Consider the following 16625-nt stretch of genomic DNA (forward strand, 5'->3'; position numbering starts at 1 on the left):
GGAACCAACCCAAATGTCCAACAATGATAGACTGGATTAAGAAAATGTGGCACATATACACCATGGAATACTATGCAGCCATAAAAAATGATGAGTTCATGTCCTTTGTAGGGACATGGATGAAATTGGAAATCATCATTCTCAGTAAACAATCGCAAGAACAAAAAACCAAACACCGCATATTCTCACTCACAGGTAGGAATTGAACAATGAGATCACATGGACACAGGAAGGGGAATATCACACTCTGGGGACTGTAGTGGGGTGGGGGGAGGGGGGAGGGATAGCATTCGGAGATATACCTAATGCTAGATGACGAGTTAGTGGGTGCAGCGCACCAGCATGGCACATGTATACATATGTAACTAACCTGCACACTGTGCACATGTACCCTAAAACTTAAAGTATAATAAAAAAAAAAAGAGTATTTGTAGAATGAATGAAATGATATTGGAAATAGTGAAGTTACAATACAAAAAAAGAACCTTATAGTCTCTAAAGTTTTAACACTAATATGTTCATTTGATCCTAAAGACACCATTTTCATTCCTCTTTTATAGATGAGGAAATAGAAGCTTAAAAATTGCACTTAGACCAGACTTGAACTCACAGGACTCTTTCTACAGCACCTGGCTACCTTAAGCCTTGAGGCTTCATGCCCAACACTAATGTGATGAATTTGGGTAGTAAGTCCCCAGGATTAATAATTTCCCAATAGTGGTCTACCAGAACACAGGCAAAGCTCCCCTGGTGAAAGAAAAGTAGATCACAGGCTTAACTCGAATTTAAACAGTTCTCTGCCCCACCACAACCCCAATTTTTTTATTATACTTTAAGTTTTAGGGTACATGTGCACAATGTGCAGGCTAGTTACGTGTGTATACATGTGCCATGTTGGTGTGCTGCACCCATTAACTCATCATTTAACATTAGGTATATCTCCTAATGCTATCCCTCCCCCTTCCCCCCACCCCACAACAGGCCCCGGTGTGTGATGTTCCCCTTCCTGTGTCCATGTGTTCTCATTGTTCAATTCCCACCTATGAGTGAGAACATGCGGTGTTTGGTTTTTTGTCCTTGCGATAGTTTGCTGAGAATGATGGTTTCCAGCTTCATGCATGTTCCTACAAAGGACATGAACTCATCATTTTTTATGGCTGCATAGTATTCCATGGTGTATATGTGACACACTTTCTTAATCCAGTCTATCATTGCCCAACTTTTCTTTAGAGACAGGGTCTCACTCTGTTCCCCAGGCTGGAATGCAGTGGCATGATCATAGTTCACTGCAGCCTAAAACTCCTGGGCTCAGGCAATCCTCCCACCTCAGCCTCCTGAGTAGCTAGAAAAACAGGCATGCACCACCATGCCTGGCTAATTTTTAATTTTTGGTAGAGATGGGGGTCTCACTATGTTGATCAGGCTGGTCTCAAACTCCTGGCTTCAAGCAATCCTCCTGCCTTGGCTGGAAGGATTGTTGGGATTACAGGTGTGAGCCACTGTGCCAGTGCCCGACCAGCAGGGGTGCCTTTTAATGTTTCTCAGGTACATTCAAAGAGCACAAACATAAATCCACAAAAGACTTAAAACAAGTTTTTATTGTTTTAAATTTCAGAAATTGTATTTTTTATCTTTAAAGATCAACTTAGGTTTTATTTTCAATTTTTCTGACCATGCTTATACTTCGCTGTCTTCTTGAACACATGGAGAACGTTTATAAGTCTCTGTTTTCACATCCTTGTCTGTTAATTCTATCATTGTTTCCCTGAGAGAAAAACATCTGTTTTTCTGAGTCTGACTTTCCCTTTTTTGTTTTTAAGATGAAAAATTTAAGATTAATTACTAAGATCTCCTCTTGGGGTAATTAGTAATCTTGAAAGTTGCACTAAGTTATCAGTAGAGTATCAGAAAATAAGACCTTTGGAAAAAGATCTAAATATATTCAGCTCAATAGCACTCAATGCAATATGAAACCAGGGATGATACTGGACAGAAAACTTTAAGGAACAGGAATTCAATCCCTCATGTCAACATATGCATCAGACACAAACCATAATTTACCATGCACTGACTTCTTGTTTTTCTAAAGACAATGTTTAAAAGTTTGAGCTGAATTATATATTAGTGACAGAATTGCATTTCCACAAGTTTTTAATTTAAATAGCCTACATGTTAAAACAAGGACCTCTCAGATTTACTTAAGAGTTCTACATAAACACAAAAAATGTTCTAGACCAACCGTTTCAATTTTAGAGGCACCATGTGGACACATAGCCTTTAAAAGATATTAAAATTTTATAAAATACACATGCAGCTTAATCTTTACTTACTTGTTTTCAGAGCACTTTGTTTAAATAATTTTCTTCAAATTTGACCTGAAATAAGAACAGCTATCTCCACCAGTAGAAAACTGAGGCTAAGGCAGGACGAAGGTTAAGACTTGAATCCAGAGGTCCTGGGAAATTCCTTGGCTAATATTTTCACCAAGTTACAACTAAAATCCAGCTGCCACGGGTAGAGAGGAGTTTTGTCATTTGGTCATTTCAACCAAATTAAAAACTCATTGCTTTCACGAAGTTAAAATGGAATCCTGCTTAAGCCAGAGTCAGTCAAGATTCACTGAAGGTTTATTTACTTTTATATAGAAAACAGCCTAGATTTAAACAGTCTGCACTCATAAGATGGCATCACATCATGCCTGTAATCCCAATACTTTGGAAGGCCGAGGTGGGTGGGTCACCACCAGAGGTCAGGAGTCCGAGACCAGCCTGGCCAAGATGGCAAAACCCCGTCTCTACTAAAAATGCAAAAAATTAGCTGGGCGTGGTGGCAGGCACCTGTAATCCCAGCTACTGGGAAGGCTGAGGCAGGAGAATTGTTTGAACGCAGGAGGTGGGGAGGTTGCAGTGAGCCGAACTCCAGCCTGGGTGACAGAGAAAGACTCTGTCTCAAAAAAAAGAAAAAAAAAAAAAAACGACGGCATCACAAATGGGTTCTTGAAAACTATACTCCCAAGAGGATCCCACTGAGTACTGTGCATTTCTTCCACAGAATGTGGACTCTAACTACTATGGGCTTACGAAAATGCAACTGACAAACCATATACCCCCAAGCATGTGTAAAACATTACCCCAAATACTCATTCATTGGATGGATGTGGAAGAGACTAGTCCACGTCTGATTTTGTGTGTGAAGGACTATACTGTACCATCCATCAATTTTCTTATTTTAGCCAGGCACATAAATAACATTTTTATTTTACAGGTAAGGAACTTGAGTCCCAGAAAAGTTAAGTAACTATCCCAGGAAAATAATTGGTACTCAAACCTAGAATTGATCCCAAAGCCATGCTTCCAACAAAGTAGAGAAAAAAAACACCAAACAGGTGGATTGAAACTTTAAAGCTCACGAAACATCCCAAATGTGACATCCAAATCCTGTACATAAATATTTGTATGTAACATTTTGGAAATGGGCATGGTTTTCCTTTTCATAACCTCAGGTTTACTGCTTTAAACTGAAATACAACACAAATACAGAGCAGTGCACAAATCGTTAAGTGTACGGTTTCATGAATTTTCAAAACCTCAACACATCCAAGCAGCCAGCACTCTGATTAAGAAACAAAACTAGCCAGGCATGGTGGCTCACGCCTGTAATCCCAGCACTTTAAGAGGCTGAGGCAGGTGGATCACCTGAGGTCAGGAGTTTGAGACCGGCCTGGTCAATGTGGCAAAACCCCGTCTCTACTAAAAATACAAAAATTAACTTGTATTGGCGTGTTGGCACATACCTGTAGTCCCAGCTACTTGGGAGGCTGAAGCAGGATAATTGCTTGAACCCAGGAGGTGGAGGTTGCAGTGAGCCAAGATTGCACCACTGCACTCCAGCCTGGGTGGCAGAGTGAGACTCCGTCAAAAACAAATAAGCAAAACTATACCAGCCCTTTTCGTGCCATCATTCCTTATTTTTTTTTGGAGATGGGATCTTCCTTTGACACCCAGGCTGGAGTGCAATGGCGCAATCCTAGCTCACTACAGCCTCGAACTCTCAAGGCTCAAGTGATCCTCCCACCCCAGACTCCTGAGTAGCTGGGACTACAGGCTTGTGTCACTGCACCCAGTTGTTTAAATTTACTTTCTAAGGCAGCCTTTAGAGTTTACAATTTAAGTTAGATGTCTGTCAGAAGCAACAGAGAAACAATGTTTTATTCCCAAAAACCGAAATGAAAAAAGATAGGGTTTAAGGCTCAAGAGGTACATTTTAAAAAATTATCTTTATTTAGGTTTCTGATTCAGCACATGTATCAAAGACTAATCAACATAAAGGAGTAAATAAGACATTAATTGAAAGTCTTACATCTCTCTAAACTCTGACCAAGAATGTCAAGATTGCCACTATTACCAGAACTCCAACCTAGTCAAGTTGTAGACAAGCTATCATGAACAACATACAGTGTGCACAGATATGCAGAGGCAAAAGGCATGCTAGCGCTTGGCTCTCCTCTTTTCCTTGTTGACATCTTTCTGTTGGACAGTCCACTTTCGCTTTCCAGGCTAAGTTCCAAATCAAGTCCAAAGAAGGCTCAGGGGTCAACCTGACCAGATACTCTTCTGGAGGAATGCATTCTTAAACTGTTGTGCCTGCAACTTTGTTTTTGCCAGGATGAAGTTCAGACCGAGATGTACAATACAATCTAGATGACGGTGCAGACTAAGTCAAGAACTAAAGTTGTGCAGTAACCCGAGTTAAGGCATGAATGCAGACACACACATGCACACACACAGCACCCATGCTATCAAGACACAGGATTTTTTCAGTTGCCTCATGAGAGGCAACCTGGGCTTGGCAGTTAATCAGAACTGCTGAGCATTCCAGAAAATGCCCCCCACGACTTTATGCTAACAGCTGTGTGTATGTTTTAATCAAAAAATTAAAGAAGAAAAAAAAACCCTAAAAAACAAAGAAAAAAACAAACAAAAAATCACCAAAAACCTAGAAACCCCTTAATCTCTTACAATGGCTCTTGAGCATGGAACTCATGTAGCAGCATCAATGGCTGGCTCTTTAACAATTTGGAAATAAAAGGTTGTTTTACTATGTATTTCTTTGGTAGTCATCACTACAAAGTTTTCAGTGTTGGTTACCTATAAGACAAGTACTAGACAGAAGATCAAGTTACACAGAAATATTTCTTCTGTACTGATAAGATACAAATATTGAGCTCTCAAAGCACAAGTTACTATGCTTTTTCTTGCCTTATTGGGCATTCTCTAAAAGCAAGGCTTTGTGCAGGAAAAGTTCATGTCTACCTAACAAAGGGTGATACATGTTCTATTTTCCTACAAGTGAACAATTAACAAAAATTCACATTATCAATTATTTCTGGTTGAATTCTGTTAGAAGCCAATTACAAAGGGACAGTAGCACTTGGTGTCAAAGCCACTTTCTGGTCACACATTCATTCCATGGTTGCTAGTCAGTATCTCAGGAGCTCAGAATTTAAAACTCCTTTCAGTCAACGAAGGAGTAAGTTCAATTAAAGGCTTCCACTATCTGCCAAATTTCTAGAATTCTGTCTAGAGTGCTAGCATGCTTGATGAGAGAAAGCAGTTCAGAGCCCAAAGAGGTGTCAGGTATTAGGTAAGTTAATTTGGTTTTGTATAAAAGGCATGGTAATCTGGCAACAGAGTACTTATCCTATTAGCAGCACAGTGGTAGCCAAGGGTCTCTGTCTGCAAGACAGGAAAATGAAGCTACTGAAGCCCCTGTTGCTCCCACCTGCCTGCAGGACGGCTACTGATTTTACAAAGGCCTTCTGGGAGCCAATCCAGGGCTCACCTGGGAGAGTGGGTAACAGAATGGCAGGAACCATGTTCAGCCCCCATGAGAAGTGCCCGACTGAGGGAAGTCAGCTTCCCATAGGTGAGGGGGCTGTTGCCATTATGGGCTCAGAATCTAAATCTTACTGATCCCTAGTAGTAAGACAATTGCCAAGAAATTGTCCTAGCAGGTACTACCCAAGTGTTACAGGCTCTGCATAGGTCCTCAAACACTTTAAAGGACACGAACCATCAAATTCAAAAGAGTAGTGTTTGTTCTATCAGTTCTGAATGTCCACAGGGAGAGGCAACTAGATTTATGTGGAAAAAGTGCTGTTTGAAGGAGCTGTGTTTTATTTCGAAGTGAAATGACTTTGGGAACCAGAACATTTCTGCAGATGTCTGAATATCAAGAACCTATCTCTAAAAGGCATTTATCAGGAAATGTTCGCTCACTCCAAGTGCTTTTTAAAAATTCAACATATGGCAATGTTTTAATTTTTGTGCTTTCAAGAGGTAACTAAATCGATAGGAAGCTGAGGGAAGATCATTCCATTATGGACTTTCTTGTTTGGGTGCAAGACACTATCCACAGCATTGAAATCTATAATCTCATAAAAGATTCTTATAAACATATACCATATTTCTCCTATAAGAAAAACTGAGAACTGTACCATGAAGGCAAAATTTGTTTGCCTACTCTCAGAATTCCTTGGAATGGCAATGTACCAGGAGGGTGAGTGAACTGTTGGTGAAAATTCCGGGTTTGACATGGCCCAGTCTGATCACATCAAAAACCTAAAGCCTCAATGATTAAATGCCAAACTTCTTCCCTGCATCTGAGAACTGTATTATGATTATGTATATTACACATACATTATAAATAAAATTTATATAGACCTACAGTTTCTTCCAAACAATTGAGTGATGTTCTCAGTTTGGGGGTGGAAGCAGGAAGAGGTGAAAAAATCTTATTGTTGCTTTTACTCTCAAGTTCTTAAAACGCTAGTCAAACACTATTATCCAACAAGACTTTTTTTTTTCATTCTGTTAACTCTTAAATATGCATTCGAAGGCAAAAATGGAGGTTTCTATACTGTACAATATTAAATATCTACAATGTCATGGTTCCTTATTTTTAGGAGTGTGTTTAATAAAGAGTTGGCTATTAGAGATGGTTGTCACAAAACATGGACTCTTAAAAATTACTGATAAATTACTTTTCAGTTCTCTGATTATATCCAACAGATACACATTCTTGTCATAAAATATACATTCTCTAGTAAGTTATTTTCATCCACAGCATATATAAATATGCAAACACAGGTGGTAAAAATCACTTTACTACCAAAGTACAAAACAGCAACTGCTGAAAAACAAAAATTAAGATGTTGCACGTGTTAAGAAAAGAGTGACTCAGTGTTCCACTGCAAAGTGAAACCAAATGATTTATTTGTGCTAAATGAATGGAAATAATGTATTCAGAATATACTTCTTTGTACACTGCACTTGCTTATACTGGGTGAAATGAACAGCCATCAATGCTAATGTGCTACTTTCCTTTAGACCTTATTTTCTTTTCTGCCAAGCAATACAATATTTTCTGGCCATTATGCCAAGATAATGCGATAATGTCCATTTCAAATAGTATTTTCTAATGGTATTTTGCACCTTTAAAATATTTGTTCAAACTCTATTTTAAGAGAACACAAATGAAGTACGAAAGGGGGAAGCCGCATTGTTTTTGTTACAATCACACTGCCTTCTGCAGCAGAAATCAAATAACACATTCTAATTAGCCATTGAAACCACCGGTGAGTAGGACAACATTTATCGACTCATGTTAGAGGGGGCCAGGTTAAGTAGATTAACATTAAGGATAAAAAAGAGAATCACATCTTAATATACGATAATTATCCATCCCATTTATGTGGAGAAGGTACAGCCACATGATTCATTACTTTGGGCCATCTGTTTTACGAGAGACATGGATGTCAATAACACAATGAAAATAACCTGTAAAAAATGTATCTGTAGAAAGTTCTGTTAAACAGAAAATATGTCTTGGGCACTGATTCATCTAACTTTCTGTTCTACACTGAAAGCCAGATTTTCAAAGGTCTGAATTGTAGTGCTGAATTATTGGTATGTTTGGTAAACACTATTATAATGAGAGGAGGGTAACAACAGCTCAGTAATTTTCTGCAGATTCATGGAAAAAAATATAAAAAAGATATCCCTTTTTCTTTTACAAACCTAAAAGCCAGGAGAATGAAGCTCTGGGCCAAGCAAAAATTGCACACTGCTGCTGAAATACCAAATACCAAACAGCGAAGGTTCCAGCCAGGGAATGGACGTACATGAAGATTCAAGTAAAACACTGATGGAAAAAGTCGTCTGGTTAGTGTTGTAGACCCACAACACTGGCTGCATTTCTGACAAACATTTACAACACAATGGATAGTGAAGCCTAGATAACCTCAGTGCAAATAAGTCATATCCAAATATGCCAGAGAAGGAAGCCTTTGGCGTTGAGTAGACGGCTCCATTGGATGAGTCCCAACTTGAAATTCAGACTAAGCTCATGCATTAAGGCTGGGAGGAGGGGTGCGCCGAATGTTGCGAAGGAGTAGGCTGCGAGGTGGCTGCTGAGGGGACCGTGGGCTGCATGGGTGGCGGAGGTGGAGGCGGAGGTGGCTGGACTGGGGTCTGTGTGTTGGGAGATGGAGGCGGCGTGGGCCGTTTGAATTTGTCAGGACTGTTGCTTCTCCGTGGTGAAGGCCTCTGCAGAGGGGACAGGAACAGCAAGTCAGTCTAGGTACAGGTGGATCTCATTCTACCTAACACAGCCTGACTTGGCACTGGGGCTAATCAAACACTAACCAACAAAGACAAGAAACCAGGGATTTCTTTCTTCATCCCTACTGGTTTCTGAACTAGTAATAAAATTTAAATAAGGCAGTGTTTACACTTCCACCTATGAAAAAGCTACATAAAATTACTGCACAACTTGTGTTGAACAAACTGCTGGACTTGGGTCCTTCAACGAGAGCTGTAAAATATCCCCTTAAATCTTTCTTTCCGTGTGTGTCACCAATTCCCTCTATTGCTTATCTCCAATAAGTTGTCCACATCCTGAAAGATACAGCTCAACAGAAATGTTTCTATGTTTGAGGCCGGGTGCAGTGGCTCACACCTGTAATCCTAGCACTTTAGGAGGTAGAGGTGGGTGGATAACCTGAGGCCAGGAGTTCGAGACCAGCCTGGCCAACAGGGCAAAACCCCGTCTCTATTAAAAATACAAAAAGCAGCCAGGTGTGGTGCCGTGTGCCTGTAATACCAGCTACTCGGGAGGCTGAGGCAAGAGAATCCCTTGAGCTCCGGAGGCGGATGTTGCAGTGAGCAGACATCATGCTGCTGAACTCCAGCCTGGATGACAGAGTGAGGAAAAAAAAAAAAAAAGTTCCTACTTTTACATAAAGTCCATCAAACTGGCCAAACAGCTTCAGAAATACCTTAAGTGCATTCTTAGAATAGGGTTCTTCTTTAAAATATTATAATTTATTCTTTGAAATATTGGTATTTCTGTTATTGGAAATACCCTTAATAATACTCTCACTCTACTAGCTACATTTCTAATGGCTCTATTAGTCAACTATATTGCCGACTCTAAAGAAAAAACTCCCTTGGGTAGAGTTGGAACCAGATGCACTTAAGCTTCCTTGTAATTCGAGGAGAGAAAATTCTGAGTAACATTACAAACAAGGCTAACTTCAGGAAGAATACTGAAGGTCAGTGAACTGTGAAGGTGCAGACAATAAATATCTTTAGACATTATGGCAACCAACAATAATGCAAGGAGCTGGCCAGAGTTCAATCAAAGCACTGGCCAGAGTTCAAATTATATTTCACAAAGGGTAATTTTTCATAGGAAGTGAAGTTAAAGTTTTGTCTCCTGGGAAGGATTTTAGTTTCAATACCAGAATTTGGTATCAAACTGTTTAAGTCTCTACAGTTTCAAGGTGAACGGATGGAGGAGGCAGGAAGAAGGGCAAATGTCTAAGGGCACCGATCCTGTTCTCCAGAACACCAGTCGGTACCACTTTCAGGAGTAAAGTGCTGCTTCCTACCCCACGGACACTTACTGTGATACCATGGGATGTTCCCATGTGCTGCACGTGAAGACCCGGGGAATTGTAATAAGACATTCCAGCTCTAGTCAGTGAAGTTGGTGGCGTGAAACCAACCGTGTGACTTGCATATGATAGACCTAAAATATAACAACAAATTAAGTATCATTTTAAGCTCAACTATCTGGTGTCTTCAACTATCTAGGAGGTTTTAAATCGCAGTAGTTCTCTATCACCCACAAAAATACAAACAGATGAAAAGAATGATGGGCTCACTAAATGGTGTGGATAACAAGGGAAATAAATGTTAATTCCTAGGATAGAACAGAGAGCCCAGAAATAAACTCACACGTATATGGTCAACTGATCTTCAAAAAGGGCACCAAGAATACACAACGGGGAAAGAGAACAGTCTCTTCAACAGATGGTGTTGGGAAAACTGGATATTCACATGCAGAGGAGTGACACTGGACCTTATCTCTTACACTATATACAAAAGTCAACTCAAAATGGATTAAAGACTTAACTATAAGACCTTAAACTATAAAACTCTTAGAAGGAAAATAGGGGAAAAGCTCCCTGACATTGATCTTAGCAATGATTTCTTGGATATGACATAGGCAACAAAAAAAAAAAGCAAAAACAAATACGTGGGACTACATTCAACTAAAAAGTGTCTGCGCTAAGGAAACTTTCAGTCAACAGACTGAAAAGGCAACCTATAGAATGGGAGGAGATATTTGCAAACCATATACCTGGTATGGGGTGAATATGCGAAATACATAAGTAACTCCTATGACTCAAAGCAAACAAACACACTCAAATAGTCCAATGAAAAAATGCACAGAGAACTTGAATACACATTTCTCTAAAAAAGATACACAAATGTGCTAATAGATATATGAAAAGACGATTATCACCACTAACCATCAGGGAAATGCAAATCAAAACCACAGTGAGATATCACCTCATAACTGTTAAGTTGGCCATTATTATTTTTTTTCTTATTCATTTTTATTATTATTATTATTATACTTTAAGTTTTAGGGTACATGTGCACAATGTGCAGGTTAGTTACATATGTATACATGTGCCATGCTGGTGTGCTGCACCCATTAACTCGTTATTTAGCATTAGGTATATCTCCTAATGTTATGCCTCTCCCCTCCCCCCACCCCACAACAGTCCCTAGAGTGTGATGTTATTCCCCTTCCTGTGTCCATGTGTTCTCATTGTTCAATTCCCACCTATGAGTCAGAACATGTGGTGTTTCGTTTTTTGTCCTTGCGATAGTTTACTGAGAATGATGATTTCCAATTTCATCCATGTCTCTACAAAGGACATGAACTCATCATTTCTTATGGCTGCATAGTATTCCATGGTGTATATGTGCCACATTTTCTTAATCCAGTCTATCGTTGTTGGACATTTGGGTTGGTTCCAAGTCTTTGCTATTGTGAATAGTGCCACAATAAACATACCTGTGCATGTGTCTTTATAGCAGCATGATTTGTAGTCCTTTGGGTATATACCCAGTAATGGGATGGCTGGGTCAAATGGTATTTCTAGTTCTAGATCCCTGAGGAATCACCACACTGACTTTCACAATGGTTGAAATAGTTTACAGTCCCACCAACAGTGTAAAAGTGTTCCTCTTTCTCCACATCCTCTCCAGCACCTGTTGTTTCCTGACTTTTTAATGATTGCCATTCTAACTGGTGTAAGATGGTATCTCACTGTGGTTTTGATTTGCATTTCTCTGATGGCCAGTGATGGTGAGCATTTTTTCATGTGTTTTTTGGCTGCATAAATGTCTTCTTTTGAGAAGTGTCTGTTCATGTCCTTCGCCCACTTTTTGATGGGGTTGTTTTTTTCTTGTAAATTTGTTTGAGTTCATTGTAGATTCTGGATATTAGCCCTTTGTCAGATGAGTAGGTTGCAAAAATTTTCTCCCAATTTGTAGGTTGTATAAAAGAAAAAAAAAGGTAACAAGTGGTGGTGAGGATACGGAGAAAAAATCCTTATACACTGTTGGTAGGAATGTAAAATGGTGCATCCACTATGGAAATCAGTATGAAAATGCCTCAAAAGATTAAAACTAGAAGTACCACATGATCTAGCAATCCCACTTCTGGGTATTTATACAAAATAATTGAAATCAGGATCTCAAAGAGATATTAGCACTCCCATATTCACTACAGTGTTATTCACAATAGCAAAAATGTGGAGGCCTGGAGCGGTGGCTCACGCCTGTAATCCCAGCACTTTGGGAGGCTGAGGCAGGCAGGTCACAAGGTCAGGAGATCGAGACCATCTTGGCTAACATGGTGAAACCCCGTCTCTACTAAAAAAAATACAAAAAAATTAGCTGGGCATGGTGGCGGGTGCCTGTAGTCCTAGCTATTCGGGAGTCTGAGGCAGGAGAATGGCATGAACTCGGGAGGCGGAGCTTGCAGTGAGCTGAGATCGTGCCACTGCACTCCAGCCTGGGCGACAGAGCCAGATTCCATCTCAAAAAAAAAAAAAAAAAATGTGGAAACAACCTCACTGTCCATCAACGGATGAGCAGATAAAGAAAATGTGATATATATAGACATATAAAGGAATATTCAGTCTAAAAGGAGAAAATCCTGCCATATGCAACAACATATATTAACCTCGAGAATATTATGCTAAGTGAAATAAGCCAGTCACAGAAGGACAAATCCTGCCTGGTTCCACTTATATGAGGAGTTTAAATAGCCAATCTCATAGACACAGAGTAGAATGGCGGTGAACTGCTGCTCAACAGCCATCAAGTTTCAGTTAAGCAAAACGAATAAACTACAGAGAGTTGCTGCACAACATTATACTACAGTTAACAGTACTGTATTGTATTCTTAAAAATAAGAGGATAGATCTTATATTGAGAGGTCTCACCACAATAATGATTTTTTTAAGTCAAACCCTGTCAGGAATTCAACTGAGATTCAGGAAAGCAAAAGACATGAGAAAGAACAAGAATAAAGTGGAGAAAATCGAGCAAAGGAGTAAATATCAAATGCAAGAAAACCAGAAATGTCAAAAGATGTATCAACAATTGACCAAACTGGAGATAGATATTAAGTAGCCAATGAACTGAACCTCCTAGCAAAAAAAAAAAAAAAAAAAAAAAAAAAAAATCAACAAGAAGAAGACAGGGAGAGTGTGGGCATGAGTGAGTGAGAGAGAGAGAGAGTGAGAGTGTTGTGTGTGTGTGTGTGTGTGTGTGTGTCTCAGCCATAACAGCAAACAAAACCACTGGGAATATCACGACTTGAGAATATTCAATACAAGGAATGAAAGCCCTGCCAATGTTCCCTAAAAGAACCTGGTATTTAAGGAAGAAACAATCCCCAGTCCAATATAATGTTCTGTGTAGTCTTCATGTAGGAGTCCAGGATCATCTCCACTGTGTTTTAACATCTGTATGTCCAGACTCTCCTTACTGTTAGACAGGTTTGGATTGGGGTCCATATTTTGAGAACATCTAAAAGCGATCCTCACCTACATGTGGCATGTGAAGCCCTGCTCGTCAAGAGTCAGTGCAGAAGTCACCAGCCGGTCTGGGGAATTACTTGTTTTATCACTGCACAAATGTGGCTAGCTTTCTTTACACCTTTGAGTTCCCAACATCTACCACAATACCTTGCACAGGGTAGGTTCCATACTGGCAAAGTGAAAAGGGAAAACAGAGGAGCTGTCTGGGGAAATGTGGATAGGAATCACCTATTGACAATTACTCTGAACATACTATCAGCTATTAGAGGCCAAGCAATGTGAACTCCACTTACTGCTTTTCTGAATTACGTAAAAACAAGAAGCTGTTAAGTATGCTCTTCCATCTGTCTTTTTTGTTTCCATGACAGAGATATTCAGCCAAGCCTTCCTTTAGTTGTGCTATTATCGCAGGACTTTTCTGTGCCCTCAGCATCTAATACTAAAAGTTTATTTTGTGATTTGACTATGAATTAGTGATGCTTTCTATTTGACATATTTCCATTTCCAATTGTGGAGTTTTTATTCACATTTACAAAATGGAGGTCTGGGATAAAGGACAAGTCTTTGGGAACTAAGTGGTTTTTTAATGTGATATTTACTGGAATCACAAGAACTTTACTCATCTGGGAAAAGAAAGAAGTTGTTTTCTTTAAAAAAACATTGGAGAATAAAATCCTAATTTTATTTCTTATGAAAGTGATTACATTTAAGAGAAAGGCTATAAAATATAAAAGTGGGCTGGACGTGGTGGCTCACGCCTGTAATCCCACCACTTTGGGAGGCTGAGGTGGATGGATCACGAGGTCAGGAGTTCGAGACCAGCCTGACCAACATGGTGAAACCCCATCTCTACTAAAAATACAAAAACTAGGTGGGCGTGGTGGTTTGTGCTGATAAATCCCAGCTACTCAGGAGGCTGAGGCAGGAGAATCGCTTGAATCTGGGAGGTGGAGTTTATAGTGAGCTGAGATCATGCCACTGCACTCCAGCCTGCGCGACAGAGCAAGACTGTTTCAAAAAAAAAAAAAAAAAAAAAAAAAGTGGATCCTTGTCTTCAAATAGGGGATTCAGTTCATTTTTAAAAATATAGTCAATGTTCTAGTATTACTGAGTTAACTTTTCTGAAGGGTAATTATGAGTACTGCCTACTTACTTAAAAAAAAAAAAATCCTGGCCGGTCATGGTGGTTCATGCCTGTAATTCCAGCACTTTGGGAGGCTGAAGCGGGTGGATCACTTGAGGTCGGGAATTCAAGACCAGCCTGGTCAACACGGTGAAACCTTGTCTCTACTAAAAATACAAAAAATTAGCCAGGCATGGTGGCGGGTGCCTGTAATCCCAGCTACTTGGGAGCTGTAATCCCAGCTTAAACCCAGGAGGCGGAGGTTGCACTGAGCCAAGATCATGCCACTGCACTCCAGCCTGGGCAACAGAGCAAGACTCTATCTCGAAAAAAGAAATCTCCTTCTCTAGCTGTTACCAAGACTTCTGCATTTGGCTTCAAACTATATTCTGATGCTGCAGGTCAGTGGTTCTCAACAGTGAATATCAAAGTTCTGCTTGCCTTATCCCAAACCAATGAATCAGAATCTCCAGGGAGCTGAACCCCAGGGCAGCTGTGAAGAGAACTGCAGTGATTTTATTGCTCTTGATTCAGACCTCCATGCCTCTGTTAATGGTGTGCCCTAGCCTGAGAATGTCTTCTCTTTACCACAGCTTCTTCCTGCTCCCAGTGCCAATCAGCACCTCACTCATCCTTTGCAGAAGGCAAAGACCACAGAGTCTAGAGTCAGACTATGTTGGATCCTAGCTCTGACACTTGGCACTAAGTAGACAAGTTCCTTAATCTCATTGTGCTTTAGATTCCTGAGCTGTTCAATGGGAATACTGTAGCTACCTTGCAAGGTTGTCATGAGGATGAAAGGAGATAATATCACAAAGTGCTTTGAGAGTGCCTGGAAAAAGTAAGGGTTTGATGCACTTTAGCTCATTAACTCCTCTCAAAGCCCATCTCAAAAGCTCTCTAAGCTGGTCGCTCTCTCCTCTTTGAACCTCTTTTTAAACTATTTTACCTTGGGTTTATAAAAATTATAACTTTTTATTTTGAAATAGTTTACAATTCACAAGAAATTGCAAGAATATTACAGGGTTCCCATGTATCTTTCACTCAGCTTCCCCTGATTACACCCTACATAACAATAACACATTGTCAAAACCAGGAAATTGACATTGGTATAATATTAGTAACTAAGGCACAGACTTTGTGTGGATTTCATCAGCTTCCATGTGTGCTCTCTGTGTGCCTATGCATGTGTACAGCTCAACCATCCTTATCCTTCTACTACTCTTAACGCATCCTAGCAATGACTGATCTGTTCTCTATAATTTTGTCACTTTGTGAATGTTGTAGAAATGGTATCATATAGTAGGTAACCCTTTGAGATTAGGTCTTTTCATTCAGTTCAATGCCCTTGCAATCCATCCAAATTGTTCTAAGTGTCAATAGTTAATCTGTTTATTGCTGAACAGTATTCCATTGAATAGACATACTGCCATTTGTTTAACTACATAACTTTTTAAAGGGTATACAATATACACAATTTATGAAATTTATTACATTTAGCCTTGTATTAAAGTTTTTTTTTTTTTTTAAACCTGCTTCTGTAAGCCCTGCTGTTGATTATAAGCTCTTAGAGGTTGGAAATCATGTACTATTGATTTTTTTTTTCCTTAAGTTCTAATTATCATGCATCTTCACCCTCTGACCCAGGAATACAATAAAGGATAACCCCTCCCCACCAGAACCTAAGTTGAAATTGCCAAACCACAAACACCAGCTTACTAAATATAATACTATGGTTTTACATCAAGTCTTTGCTGGAATAAACTTCCCTTGCTTTGATATGGAAATGTATTAACAAAAGCCAAAATTCTAAGATTTATTTCACTGTCAAAACTGCAAACTTAAAAAATGATTAATTAAAAGCGACTCATGACTGAGAAAACACACTAAGCAATATAAAACAAGATACAAAAGCATTTCATAATATGTATGAAACCAACTACTTAAAAGAAAACTGCAAGGGGTGGGATAGGAGACACTTGAAAACACTAAAACATTAACACCGCCTTTGGATGAAAGAATTCTGGATGA

At 39.5% G+C, this 16625-nt stretch overlaps 1 protein-coding gene across 1 annotated transcript in view, besides 1 other annotated feature; it reads right to left on the bottom strand.

Annotated features, from left to right (window-relative positions):
* The window catches only part of CCDC6 (coiled-coil domain containing 6), a 117810-nt gene continuing 105426 nt past the window's right edge, over nucleotides 4242-16625 (bottom strand). The window contains exons 8-9 of the mRNA NM_005436.5: nucleotides 9968-10092; nucleotides 4242-8606 (exon numbers count right to left, since the gene is read on the bottom strand). Of these exons, the coding sequence (NP_005427.2) occupies nucleotides 8412-8606; nucleotides 9968-10092 (320 nt within the window). The 3' untranslated portion in view covers nucleotides 4242-8411. The remainder of the gene's footprint in view (nucleotides 8607-9967; nucleotides 10093-16625) is intronic.
* Nucleotides 5427-5928: an enhancer, noted in NCBI's record as "NANOG hESC enhancer chr10:61549690-61550191 (GRCh37/hg19 assembly coordinates)". NCBI's record gives its function as "activates a minimal SCP1, AML or CMV promoter by ChIP-STARR-seq in naive H9 embryonic stem cells {active_cell/tissue: H9 hESC(naive)}" and the evidence as "EXISTENCE:reporter gene assay evidence [ECO:0000049][PMID:30033119]".

This window comes from Homo sapiens, chromosome 10 (assembly GCF_000001405.40).
Source record: "Homo sapiens chromosome 10, GRCh38.p14 Primary Assembly".
Lineage (NCBI taxonomy): Eukaryota > Metazoa > Chordata > Mammalia > Primates > Hominidae > Homo > Homo sapiens.